Here is an 11,933-nt window from a genome sequence, read left to right as displayed (position 1 = left end):
ATTTGGAGGGACTCTAGAAGGTCTGGTATGTGCTCGACTGAAAAATAAAACCATTTTTCATCTCCAAGTCTCTTGAGTTAGCAAAATATTATCAGAGAAAGAAAGGGCTTCAGAAAAAGATAAAATCAAAGGTGTGGCTTTAAAACTCTCTGATCAATACCTCAGAAAGCCTATCCTCTCATTGGATAAGAACTCCACAAATCTTAAAGGCATTTTCCTGTAGCTGCTTAACTCATTGCTCAAACTAAAAAGAGGTCTACCTACTAGAGGTGACTATAATTTGATTTACTAGAAATCCATACAGTTTTAAGGGAGATATATTATATGAGACTAAAGGGGACAGAGTTTGTTCAAAATAAAAGGTTTCTGGGTCCCCAATTTTCCATGGGCAGGAAGCAGGTTGAGAAAGCTATTTATCTGAAAACGGGCTGTTCCTAGAGAAAAGGATAGGACCGCTTAGACAGTGGAGCGAAGAGCCCAGAGGGCAGAACCAAGAGTCAAGGAGAGCAATGGACTAGGAAATCACTTTCAGTTAGCAAAACTGGGCCCTAATCAAGGAAAATTCCCTACCCTTAGAGTAAAGAGATCTAAAAACATGCACCAGCCGGGCGCGATGGCTCACGTCTGTAATCCCAGCACTTAGAGAGGCCAAGGCCGGCAGATCACCTGAGTTCAGGAGTCCGAGACCAGCCTGGCCAACATGGTGAAACCCCATCTCTACTAATAATACAAAAAAATTAGCTGGGCATCATGGCACATGCCTGTAATCCCAGCTACTCGGGAGGCTGAGGCAGGAGACTCGCTTGAACCTGGAAGAGTTGCGTGAGCCGAGATTGCACCATTGCACTCCAGCCTGGGCGACAAGGGTGAAACTCCATCTAAATTAAAAAAAAAATGCACCCAGCTGGATTTCAGAATTGTCATGGACCAGTGACTGCTGTGAGTCTCTGAATGGGAATGTCCACAGTGGTTGTCTGGTCCTTCTAGTGCCATAGTATGTTTAGGGGCAGAATGGTGCAGATTCTTTTCTTTTCTTTTTATTTTTTTATTTTTGAGACAGAGTATTGCTCCATCACCCAGGCTAGAGTGCAGTGGCATGATGTGGGCTCACTGCAACCTCCACCTTCTAGGTTCAAATGGTTCTCTTGCCTCAGCCTCCTGAGTAGCTGGGATTACAGGTGCCCGCCCACCACATCCAGCCAATTTTTTTGTATTTTAAGTAGAGACGGCATTTCACCATGTTGGTCAGGCTGGTCTCGAACTCCTGACCTCAAGCAATCTGCCTGCCTCGGCCTCCCAAAGTACTGGAGTTACAGGCATGAGCCACCGCACCCAGCCAGAATGGTGCAGATTCCTGTGAACTAAAAAATACAAGTTCTCTTCACCATTCTGACTCTAAACCTACTATGGCACTTTTTACGATTTACTAGAGGAGTCTCATCCAGATCTGGATCTAATATTAAAGACCACATCCTGGACTTCAAGGCCTGATGCCCTAATGGGATAAGCTTTTGGGGAATAAGTATTGCCCATGAAAGAAGGACGTGATTTATTATGACCAGAGGTGGACTTTCGTAGATTATTTGCAAAGATGGGTATAATAATTTCTCCCATTCCTACATGCATGTCCATTTGCAGTATGACTTTGCTGTGTTTCCCATCAAGAGGTAGAGTCTGTTTGCCTATGCTTTGAGGCTGAGGGGTCCTGCAGTGGATTGTGGCTAAGATGACACTGTGCAATACCCGAGTCTAGGCTTCAAGAGTCCAGACTTTCTGTGTGTGTCTTCTTGGAATGCTGCCACCTTGTGAAAAGCCCAGACTGGCTGGCCTCCTTGAGGATAAGAGACCAGATGCAGAGAGAGACAGCCCCGACAGACAGCACCAAATGCCAGACATGTGAGTGAGGCCATCAAAAGCCATTGTCCCAGCCGGCCCACCAACTGACCCAGTCAAGACAGGCAGAACTGTTCAGCTGAGCCCAACCCAAATTGCTGACCCACAGAGGTATGGGTAAATAAAAATGGTTGTTGTGGCCGGACGCAGTGGCTCACACCTATATTCCCAGCTCTTTGGGCAGCCAAGGAAGGAGGATGGATTGAGCTCAGGAGGTCAAGGCTGCAGTGAGAGCTCTGATTGCACCACAGCACTCCAGCCTGGGAGACAGAGTAAGATGCAGTCTCAGCCCGGCACAGTGGCTCACGCCTGTAATCCCAGCATTTTGGGAGGCCGAGGTGGGTGAATCATGAAGTCAGGAGTTCAAGACGAGCCTGGCCAAGATGGTGAAACCCCATCTCTACTAAAAATATAAAAATTAGCCGGGCGCGGTGGCAGGCACCTGGGATCACAGCTACTCAAGAGGCTGAGGCAGGAGAATTGCTTGAACCCGGGGAACCGAGGTTGCAATGAGCTGAGATTGCGCCACTGCGCTCCAGCCTGGGCGACAGAGTAAGACTCCATCTCAAAAAAAAAAAAAAAAAAAAGGCCGGGCGCGGTGGCTCACGCCTGTAGTCCCAGCACTTTGGGAGGCCGAGACGGGTGGATCACGAGGTCAGGAGATCGAGACCATCCTGGCTAACACGGTGAAACCCCGTCTCTACTAAAAATACAAAAATTAGCCGGGCGTGGTGGAGGGCGCCTGTAGTCCCACCTACGCGGGAGGCTGAGGCAGGAGAATGGCGTGAACCCGGGAGGCGGAGCTTGCAGTGAGTCGAGATCGCACCACTGCACTCCAGCCTGGGCGACAGAGCGAAACTCCGTCTCAAAAAAAAAAAAAAAAAATTGCTGTCTCAAAAAAAAAAGTTGTTGTTTGAAGCCATTACATTTTATGGTTGATTTGTTACACAGTAGTAAATTAGTAGATAACTGATATTAGAGGGAAATGTTTATCACAACAGTAAAAGATTTTTTCTCACCTTCCTTTAAAATAGTTTCTGGCTCACTATGAAGTAGGTGAAGTTAGGAGGAGCTGGGCCTGGTGGCAGGGCACTTGCTGTGCGCTGGTGTGGGGTTTGAGTTTCCTGCCTCTCCCTGGGGGAGGGAGGACTCTGGGCACATGTAGCTCTCCATTAAGTCTTTTTGAGGCTTGGGACTTCCTCAATAGTGGGCAAGGGTAAGAACAACAACTTGAGCACTTATTAGCGTCAGACGCCATGCCAACTGTTTGACTTGGATCATCTAGTTTAACAACGGGTCCTATTGTACCTATTTTCAGTCAAGGTAACTGAGCCTTGGGGAGGTTATTTTGCTGGAATTCAAACCTAGTCTCCTTCCAGAGGCCTTAACCACTGTGCTAAAGCCCCTGTTTTACTGGGAACAGCAATACACGTATGGGGGGCAAATAGGGAACTGGGGTGGGCTTCAGAGGTGCTGAAGGTTGAATATGGAAAAAACGTTCAGACGGTTCTTAGCTGAGCTCTCCTCTTTTCTCCAGACTTTCGAACCCCCAACCTGGTTATTTCATTAGTTTTCTGCAGTTATGGCATCTTTGCAAATTGCTTCTAAAGGCTCACTTCTAGTTTAGAAACTCCGGGAATCTCTGTTGTAACCACCAGGTAAAGAGAATGCAAGTCGGTCTGAATTGTGGAAGGGAAGACAATTGCATGTTTATTTCTCCAGCACAACCTCCTTACCAGCTGCTTGTCAGGCATTTGGTTGTTTTGCTCTTTGCCAGCTTACCAATGACTAGAAAGCCTCTTTCTTTGATTAGCAGCTATTAAAATCACAATATGAATACAGAATCGTGAACAAAAGCAGAGCCCTGGGTACATGTACTATGGCAAACTCTACAAGCCTCTTGTGCTGGCAGGCTTTATTTTAAAGAAACGTGATGTAGGGAATAGCTGATGTGTCTGGCCATGCTCTGGGTCAAGTTCAAGTTCTCTGACTTACAGCCCCTGGGGAGAGTAGCAAGAGAAAAACAAATAAGAGGGGGAAGCTTAAAAATAGAATTAAAATAAATAGGAAAAAAGTAAAAATTAGGAAGTAGACAAAAAGGAGATTATGTTAGAAAAATAAGGAAGATGAGAGCAGAAGGGATTCATTTAAAGAAAAAAGTAAAATAAATGAGAGAAAATATGGAATGTTAGAAGGTGAGGGAAGGAGGCAGAAAGATTAGGTTTTATTTTATTTATTTTATTGTTATTATTATTTTGAGACGGAATCTTGCTCTGTTGCCTAGGCCGAAGTACAATGGTGCAATCTCAGCTCACTGCAACCTCCACCTCCTGGGTTCAAGTGATTCTCCTGCCTTGGCCTCCCTACTAGGGATTAGAGGTACCTGCTACCACGCCCGGCTAATTTTTGTATTTTTATTTTGTTTTGTTTTGTTTTTGAGACAGAGTCTCCCTCTGTCACCCAGGCTGGAGGGCAGTGGCGCGATCTTGGCTCACTGCAAGTTCCGCCTCCCGGGTTCACGCCATTCTCCTGCCTCAGCCTCCCGAGTAGCTGGGACTACAGGCGCTCGCCAACACGCCCGGCTAACTTTTTGCATTTTTTTTTTTTTTTTTTTGGTAGAGACAGGGTTTCACCGTGTTAGCCAGGATGGTCTTGATCTCCTGACCTCGTGATCCGCCCGCCTTGGCCTCCCAAAGTGCTGGGATTACAGGCGTGAGCCTCCACGCCCGGCCAATTTTTGTATTTTTGGTAGAGACAGCATTTTGCTATGTTGGCCAAGCTGGCCTCAAACTCCTCCCCTCAGGTGATCCACCCACCTTGGCCTCCCAAAGTCTGGGATTACAGGCATGAGCCACTACGCCTGGCCAGATTAGGTTTTAGAAATGAGACAATGAAAATACATATTTGTTTTGTTTTGTTTTGTTTTAGAGATGGGGATCTCACTATGTTCCCTAGGCTGGAGTGCAATGACCATTCACAGGCTCAATCATATCTCACTGCAGCTCAAACTCCTGAGCTCAAGCAATCCTCCTGCCTCAGCCTCCCAGGTAGCTGGACACAATAGGCAGACATGCACCACCAGGCACAGGTATTGATTAGAGGGTCTCATATGTTATGAAAATACATATTTTTTAAAACCCTGTTCCCCATATTCCTCCCGCCTACCACAAGGCACAAGGCTAAATGGAAATACAGTGGGATCCCTGTGGAATCAGCATCCCCACCCCGACATTCACACACACGTGCATTCACACATGGAATGATGGTCAGAGGGTCAGGGATGCTAGACTCTGTGCAGGCCTATTTTCTGTTCTATAATTCTCTGGCTCTTCCCTTTCTCTCCAAAAGACCTGTAGCCTCCCAGGTCACCTTAGCAAAGGGCAGACATGCTGGTCTGTGCTGAGTGCTGGTCTGATGTTGTCATCTCCCAAACATTTTCATAAGATAGCAAGTTAGGGACCAGTGTGTTCAAAGGGAGGATTTAATCTATTTACAGATTCATATCAGTGGGTGGCCAACTGAGTCTGAATCTTGATAGAGGACAGGAAAACAAGAAGCCTGGCTCGCTTAATCAAAGGTTTTCAAATATCCATTTGAAAAATACATGGAATTTTGAGGAAAGTCCCAAATGTTTTCAGAGGAGTCTGGTCCTCCATTCTAAGTTCCACATGACCAATAATTAACACACTGTTTACTTAGGGTTTTACTTCTTTGAGGCTTAGAACCAATGACAGAAGATTCTACAATAGCTTCAAAGGACCTTTTAACAAATACTTTCTGGTAGTTTAAGGAGCTATTTTTGTCTTTCTCCTTGAAAAAAAAAAGGCCAGCGTCTTTTCCCAAAATGAATGAAAAAAGAAGAGTTACATACTAAAAGAACTATATTCTAAATTAGAGCACTAAATACCAGTTCTTTCATCTTCCAACCTTCAACTTCGGCAAAGTTTATGTGTATTTATATGTATATGTGTATATATATATACCTATTTCTCCCCTCATGAAATGGGGTCTCACCATAGTGAGACCTTGGCAACATAGCCAAGGCTGAGCTCAAACTCTTGGGCTGACACAATCCTCCCTCATCAGCATCCCAAAGCGCTGGGATTACAGGTGTAAGCCACTTCACTGTATACTTATAATTGAAGTATAACTTGCAAGATACGGAAGATAACTCTTTACAACTTTCCAATGTCCAGAAATCACAGCTAACAAAATATGAAACACCAATGAAAAACAAACAACCATCTTGGTGTCTTTATTTTCTCTACCACGCCACCATCATCCCCCGACCTCCGTCCATAATCCTGGCTTCACTATAATGGGACAAAGCAAAGGAACTGGGCATTGAATGAGATTCTGTCTTTGTAATGAGAGCAAATAGAGAACCGCCACCACCATCTGGGTGCTACCCAGAGTCAGAGCACAGGTGCTTATGTGATGTCTAGGTTCCCATTGGCCTTCAGCAAACACCAGCACGTTCATCACCATAGCCAGGTAGGCAAAGGAAGTGGAACCATTATGATCCTCTTTTCCACAGGTGGAAAAACAAAAATCAGAGTGGTAAGGAGCTGTGTCAAAGGTCACACACACAGCCAGAAACCCAAACTGGTGGCAGTGATACAGATAGCTGTGGATCTGGCACCTCAGGGCACCTGGCACTGAAATGAACAGTTGGGAGCAGCACTAAGCTCTCCTGGTAGGTTACAGCAAGGTTTATGCCTTGGTCCTCACTGCCTGCTCCATTTCCTCAACAATGAGGCAGTACGACCTCAGAATGTCCCTTTAACTCAAAAGTACAGGAAAAGAAGGACATTGGCATTTTCCTGCAAGACGTTTAAACTTTCCCATGCTGTATGGAACAAATGTTTTGTGTAATTTTCCAGTGGCCTTGATGAAAGATGTTATGTAATTCAATATAATTGTAGCATGAAGAAATTAAAGGCCATGCCAGGCTTATCAAATGTTTGGACCCAGTTAAAGATCCAGAAGCATTAAGCATTCAAGACACGGCCAGCTTATTTCTGTGGATTCTGTTCCTTCAGGGTCTCTCCTCCTTTGCTTGGCACTCAAGTCCTCTTATAATCTGTCCCTGATCTACCATTCTCACTGTTCCAGCCTGTTTGCACATATCGTTTACTCCAGCCAGGCTGCTGGCATGAGCTCACTGCCAAGGCTCCTGTGCAGCCTTCCCACTCCAGTTCCATCTCTCTCCCGCATTTCCTGCTTACCCAAATCCAATCCCTTCATAATCCAGTGGACACACTGCTTCTTGGAAAAGACTTCCTTCACCACCCCAGTCCTCTGAGCTCCAAACTTGTCCCAGTTCAAGTCAGTCTATTGGTTTGTAAATCATTCAGGAAGCTTTTTGTGTGTGTGTGTGAGACAGAGTCTCACTCCATCGCCCAGGCTGGAGTGCAGTGGCGCAGTCTCAGCTCACTGCAACCTCCGCCTCCTGGGTTTAAGCAATTCTCTGCCTCAGCCTCTCAAGTAGCTGGGATTACAGTCATGTGCCACTGCACCCAGCTAATTTTTTGTATTTTTAGTAGACACAGGGTTTTGCCATGTTGGCCAGGCTGGTCTCGAACTCCTGGACTCAAGTGATCCTCCCACCTCCCAAAGTGCTAGGATTACAGGTATGAGCCACCGTGCCTGGCCCAGGAAGCATTTTTTGCCAGCCTGTACCCTGCATACATCCTTGGCCTCTCAGAACCCCCTTCCTCCTTCATATGAACATCGTGGTCCCTACCTCAATGGAGTTTGTAAAGATGAAGTGAGAAGGCCCACGTTAAGTGCCTAGCAGCATCTGGAACATTGGCGGGCTCCCCAGAAATGCATTTCCCCATCCCTTGTGCCAGGTACGGCACTAGGCACTGGAGGGGGCAGCTGGGGAAAGTTACTAGTATGTGCAATGGACACTGCAGAGTGGTAACAGGTGTTCCCATGTGCCTTTGAGCAAGTTTTTGCATTTCTCTCTCACCCACTTTTCCCATCCTGAAAATGGGCTGATGACAGTATCTACATCATAGTCTATGTGATAAGCTTAAAAGAGCTAATGCCTATGAAGCACTGAGAACAGTGCCTGGGCCAAAGTAAGTATTCAGGGAGCCTCGGCAATAATGCAGATGTGCGCAGAGGACATATCATGAGCAAGACAGATGTGGTTTCTGTCTTCAGGGAGTGAGTGGAAGAGATAAGACACAAATACATTTGCTCTACAATACAACTCATTTGGCATTTGACATATGTTATCTTGAGTTGCTATCTAGCTAATTACATGTATGTCTTGTCCCCCTATCAAGATGGTAAATTTATTGAGAGAGGAGAGCCTGGATCCAATTCTGCTAGGTCCCCTGCACTGACCAGAGTGTCTTGTGTATAGACATCCAATACTATTTATTGCTAATTACCTAAAGGATTGATCTTGCCTTTGCCATTAAAACTTTATTATGAAGATCCTATTCATTGATGGAGTTCTGTGGCTTTCTTGGTGTGATCAGATTCATATGTGAAAAATTAATGTGTAACCACCGTCCTGTGGACACCAGCGTCCCCAAGTCTCTGCTACACATAAATCTGTCATCATTCTGGTTAAAATGCATCGAACCCAGATACCATCAACCCACAGCTAAAGCTATCTCTGAGTCCCCTGAATTGCATTTTTCCATGAAATAATAATAATGACACTTTATGTCATTTAACCCCAACGATATTCTATAAGGCAAGTACTATTACCATCCCTATTATATAAATGGGGAAGCCAAGGCTTGGAGAGCTGAGGCTGTTTGCCCGAAGCCACAGGTGAATGATGGAGCTGAGATTTGAACACAGGTAGTCTGACATGAGGTGGAAGCATGTAATTGCTACGCCAGTCTGCCTGATTTGGTGACAAAAAGACAGCCTGGTCTCTAACAAGAAAGCAAAGACATAAAAGAACCGGTAACATGGCACAGTCCTCCCTGCAAGCCCCCAGGGGAAGATCTTAATGGCAGAGACTTCTTTCTCCACAGCCATGGTGAGACAGACAACCCTGGCCCACAGGGGGCCATTTTTTCATGGGATTTGTGGCAACTGTGCTGTTCATGCTGGCGTGGGGAACACTGGCTCAGTCTCTCATCAAAGGCTCCCACGTGGGACCTTCACTCATGGCTCCCCACCCAGGGGTCCCACTAGGGGTTAAACCTAGGGGTTCCTCCTCTAGAGCAAGGACACTGAGCCACTTTTCTCCTCCTTCCCGTTGTACTGTCTCTTATTGGTGATTTTTTTTTTTTAATTTATGATTTTCGGCCCAGCCGGTTGTTAGCCTGCTGTGTTTGGAAAAGGTAGATGATTAAACCTCCTGGCCAGGTGTAAATGCAACCTTTGTCATCTGGAGGCTGGGAGAATTACCTTGTTGAGCTGCAGCCTCTCTGTGGCTCCACATTTTCTGCTTGAAGCAGAACCTCTCCCAGGCTAAGGTCTACAAGTCTTAGGCCTACCATTGGATTGCCCTGCTCTGAGTGAGCCCAGCCCAGAAGCCAGAGATCACAGATGTCCCCACATGGCCACAAAAGCTCTGAATAGACCCTAAAATTTGGAGGTGGAGAATCAAGCACCTGTCTCTCTCTCTCTCTCTCTCTCTCTCTCTTTCTTTCTCTCCTCTTTCTCTCTCCCTCTCAAGGGAATTTTTACTAGGTAAATAATAAAAATATGTAATCATTGACTAGGCCTTTAAACCTGACCTGAAGGTACGTTTGCATTTCTGTTGCCAATAGAGATTCCCACTAGTCCCTTACTCTGCCTCAATAGCCACCTCTCAGAGTCTACTTGTCCACTTGGCTACTGGGATGTTCAGCCCCAGAGAGCTACAGCCATGCAGAGAGGAGAGAACCAGCCCGAAGGCTGCAGCTCAGGGAGGTCACTTAGAGAAATGGGTTTACAAACCCCTTCCCTTAAGGAAGCCCTACAGTTGGCCACAAACCCTGACCACAGGTCTGTGAGAGGGAGAGGCCAAGCCAGGACTGACTCCCTGTGCTGTGAAATTGTGAACCCAGAGGACAAGAAGTTCTGGATCTGCGTGGAAGGCATCAGCAGCCCAGTGTCCTGGAGCATCAGCCAGAAGCCTTGTGTTGACTTTGTAAGGCTGAGTTCTCACCAATAGACTCATGCTTCAGGAAGGCTATTTCTGAACAAACAGCATGCAGCAAGTGAGCTCTTTGTGCCTCTTCCCAACGCACTGAGCTTGGCCCCTGCTCAAGGTGAGCTGAAGGCAGCAAAACCTGTTCTCAAGTTGCTTTCATTGGTCAAAGTCCTTTCCTAGGTGTTGGGTGGCTCTTGTTGAATTTTGGTGCCATTTGGGAAGATAAGTAAAAATCGACTTGAGCCTTCTCTGTAGGCAGTAAATAAATGTTTGTCAAAGACCAAATGACTAACTCAATAAGTCAATTAGCGTGTGTGTAGTGAGCGTCTCCCCCCGCCCCTGAGCCCAGCCCTAAATAACACGCTGTGAGAGGCTCACAGACACCCCAGCAGCAGTAGCAAATTGGGAGGTGGGGGGACAAAACTAACATCCCTGGGATCATTCAAAAACAACCCTATGCTAAATGACTAAATTTGCTTTAACTTTGACCAGTTTTGCTCTTTGCAATGTATGTGACAGATGACATGGCTCTGTGAAGTTTTCAAAGGCTTTTGGCTGAAAGCAACACCATTTTAACCAGCAAGAGGATAGAGACATGCCCAGCAATGGCAGGCTCATTTAATATGCAAGCAAAGAAGGAGACTTCAGCCTGGGTTGGAGTCCTCTCATGGATGGCAGGATGCAGATTAAGTGGCAGATTAAGTGAGGAGGAGAAAGGTTTATCTCAGCCAGTGCAGGAATGCAGGGTCAGGAAGAGACTGGGGACTGGAGACAGCTCTAAAAACTGCATTGAGGGGTTTCCTTTCGGGTGCAGTGAGAAATAAGTATGCCGAGTCAGAAGGAAGAACCCCCTGCAGGGCCTCGAGGTCACTCACGTTTCTCTAACTGAGGATGGGCATCCCTGAAGAGGTGCATTTGGAAGACTGGGCCACACAGGACCATCTGCAGAACGTATCGCAGAGGAGCAGGATCAGCCCGGGAGATGGAACTTGATGGAGAGAGGAAAGGAAGAGTCAATCTTAGAGATATTTTGAAGAAGCAAAAGATAGAATGTGTGACAGGCAGGTTGTTGGAGCCAGTGGCAAGAGAACAGGGGAAGCTGCCCTGACTATCCTGAGAGATATGAGACAGGATAAACAGAACCAGGATAGATGGGAAGGGACAACCATAAGCAGAAGCGGCACTTCATCAGAGTCTACTGAACTCAGAGCTGGGTGTCCTCTGAGCAGCCACAATTCCCAGGCCCTTCTTTCTCTTTTATTTTTTAAATCTTTCTTTTTTATTTATTCGTTTTTATTTTTTTGGGGGGGGGCACTTTCCAGTAAAAAGCAGAAAGCATGCTAGACAAATTCAAAAAGAGCTGTAACACTCAAGACCTCCTTATCTGCGGCCTTAGCATCTTCTTTTCTCCTCGTTCTCAATTTGGCTTCATTTTGCCCCAGATTCTTCCCCAATCCAGTCTTTCCTCCTCTTCAAATGACGGCTGGCTCATCTTTGAGGAAGAGATGCTACTGCAGAATAAAAGATAGAACCAGTGAGACTTTTTCTTAATATGGAGACCATAGTCTTGGACATCATCAGTAGGCTCATCTTGGAGAGTTTTGATTATCCTTCTCCAAAAGACCACCCTCAGAGCACACCTGGTTTTTATACAGGGGTAATCCAAATAGAAAGATAGACAGGGGCATTGTTCTAAAGAAGGAAAGAGGGAAAAAGAAATAACTTTGTTCAGGAAGGAACGTAGGGGTTGATGGCAGGCAAGGAGAGATAACACTTTAGGCCTGGCACAGACCTCAGAAAGGGTTTCCGTTTGTTGACCAGGCACGGTGGTTCACGCCTGTAATCCCAGCACTTTGGGGAGCCAAGGCGGGAGGATCACTTGAGGTTAGGAGTTCCAGACTAGCCTGGCCAAAATGGTGAAACC

At 46.2% G+C, this 11,933-nt stretch overlaps 1 pseudogene, besides 1 other annotated feature; it reads right to left on the bottom strand.

Annotated features, from left to right (window-relative positions):
- Window positions 1,995-2,587: an enhancer, noted in NCBI's record as "H3K4me1 hESC enhancer chr18:19632111-19632703 (GRCh37/hg19 assembly coordinates)". NCBI's record gives its function as "activates a minimal SCP1, AML or CMV promoter by ChIP-STARR-seq in primed H9 embryonic stem cells {active_cell/tissue: H9 hESC(primed)}" and the evidence as "EXISTENCE:reporter gene assay evidence [ECO:0000049][PMID:30033119]".
- Window positions 11,319-11,380, bottom strand: RNU7-17P (RNA, U7 small nuclear 17 pseudogene; annotated as a pseudogene).

The sequence above is a fragment of the Homo sapiens genome, chromosome 18 (assembly GCF_000001405.40).
Source record: "Homo sapiens chromosome 18, GRCh38.p14 Primary Assembly".
Taxonomy (NCBI): Eukaryota; Metazoa; Chordata; class Mammalia; order Primates; family Hominidae; genus Homo; species Homo sapiens.
The sequence above is the reverse complement of the archived record's forward strand: the minus strand, read 5'-3'. Positions and strand labels throughout refer to the sequence as shown.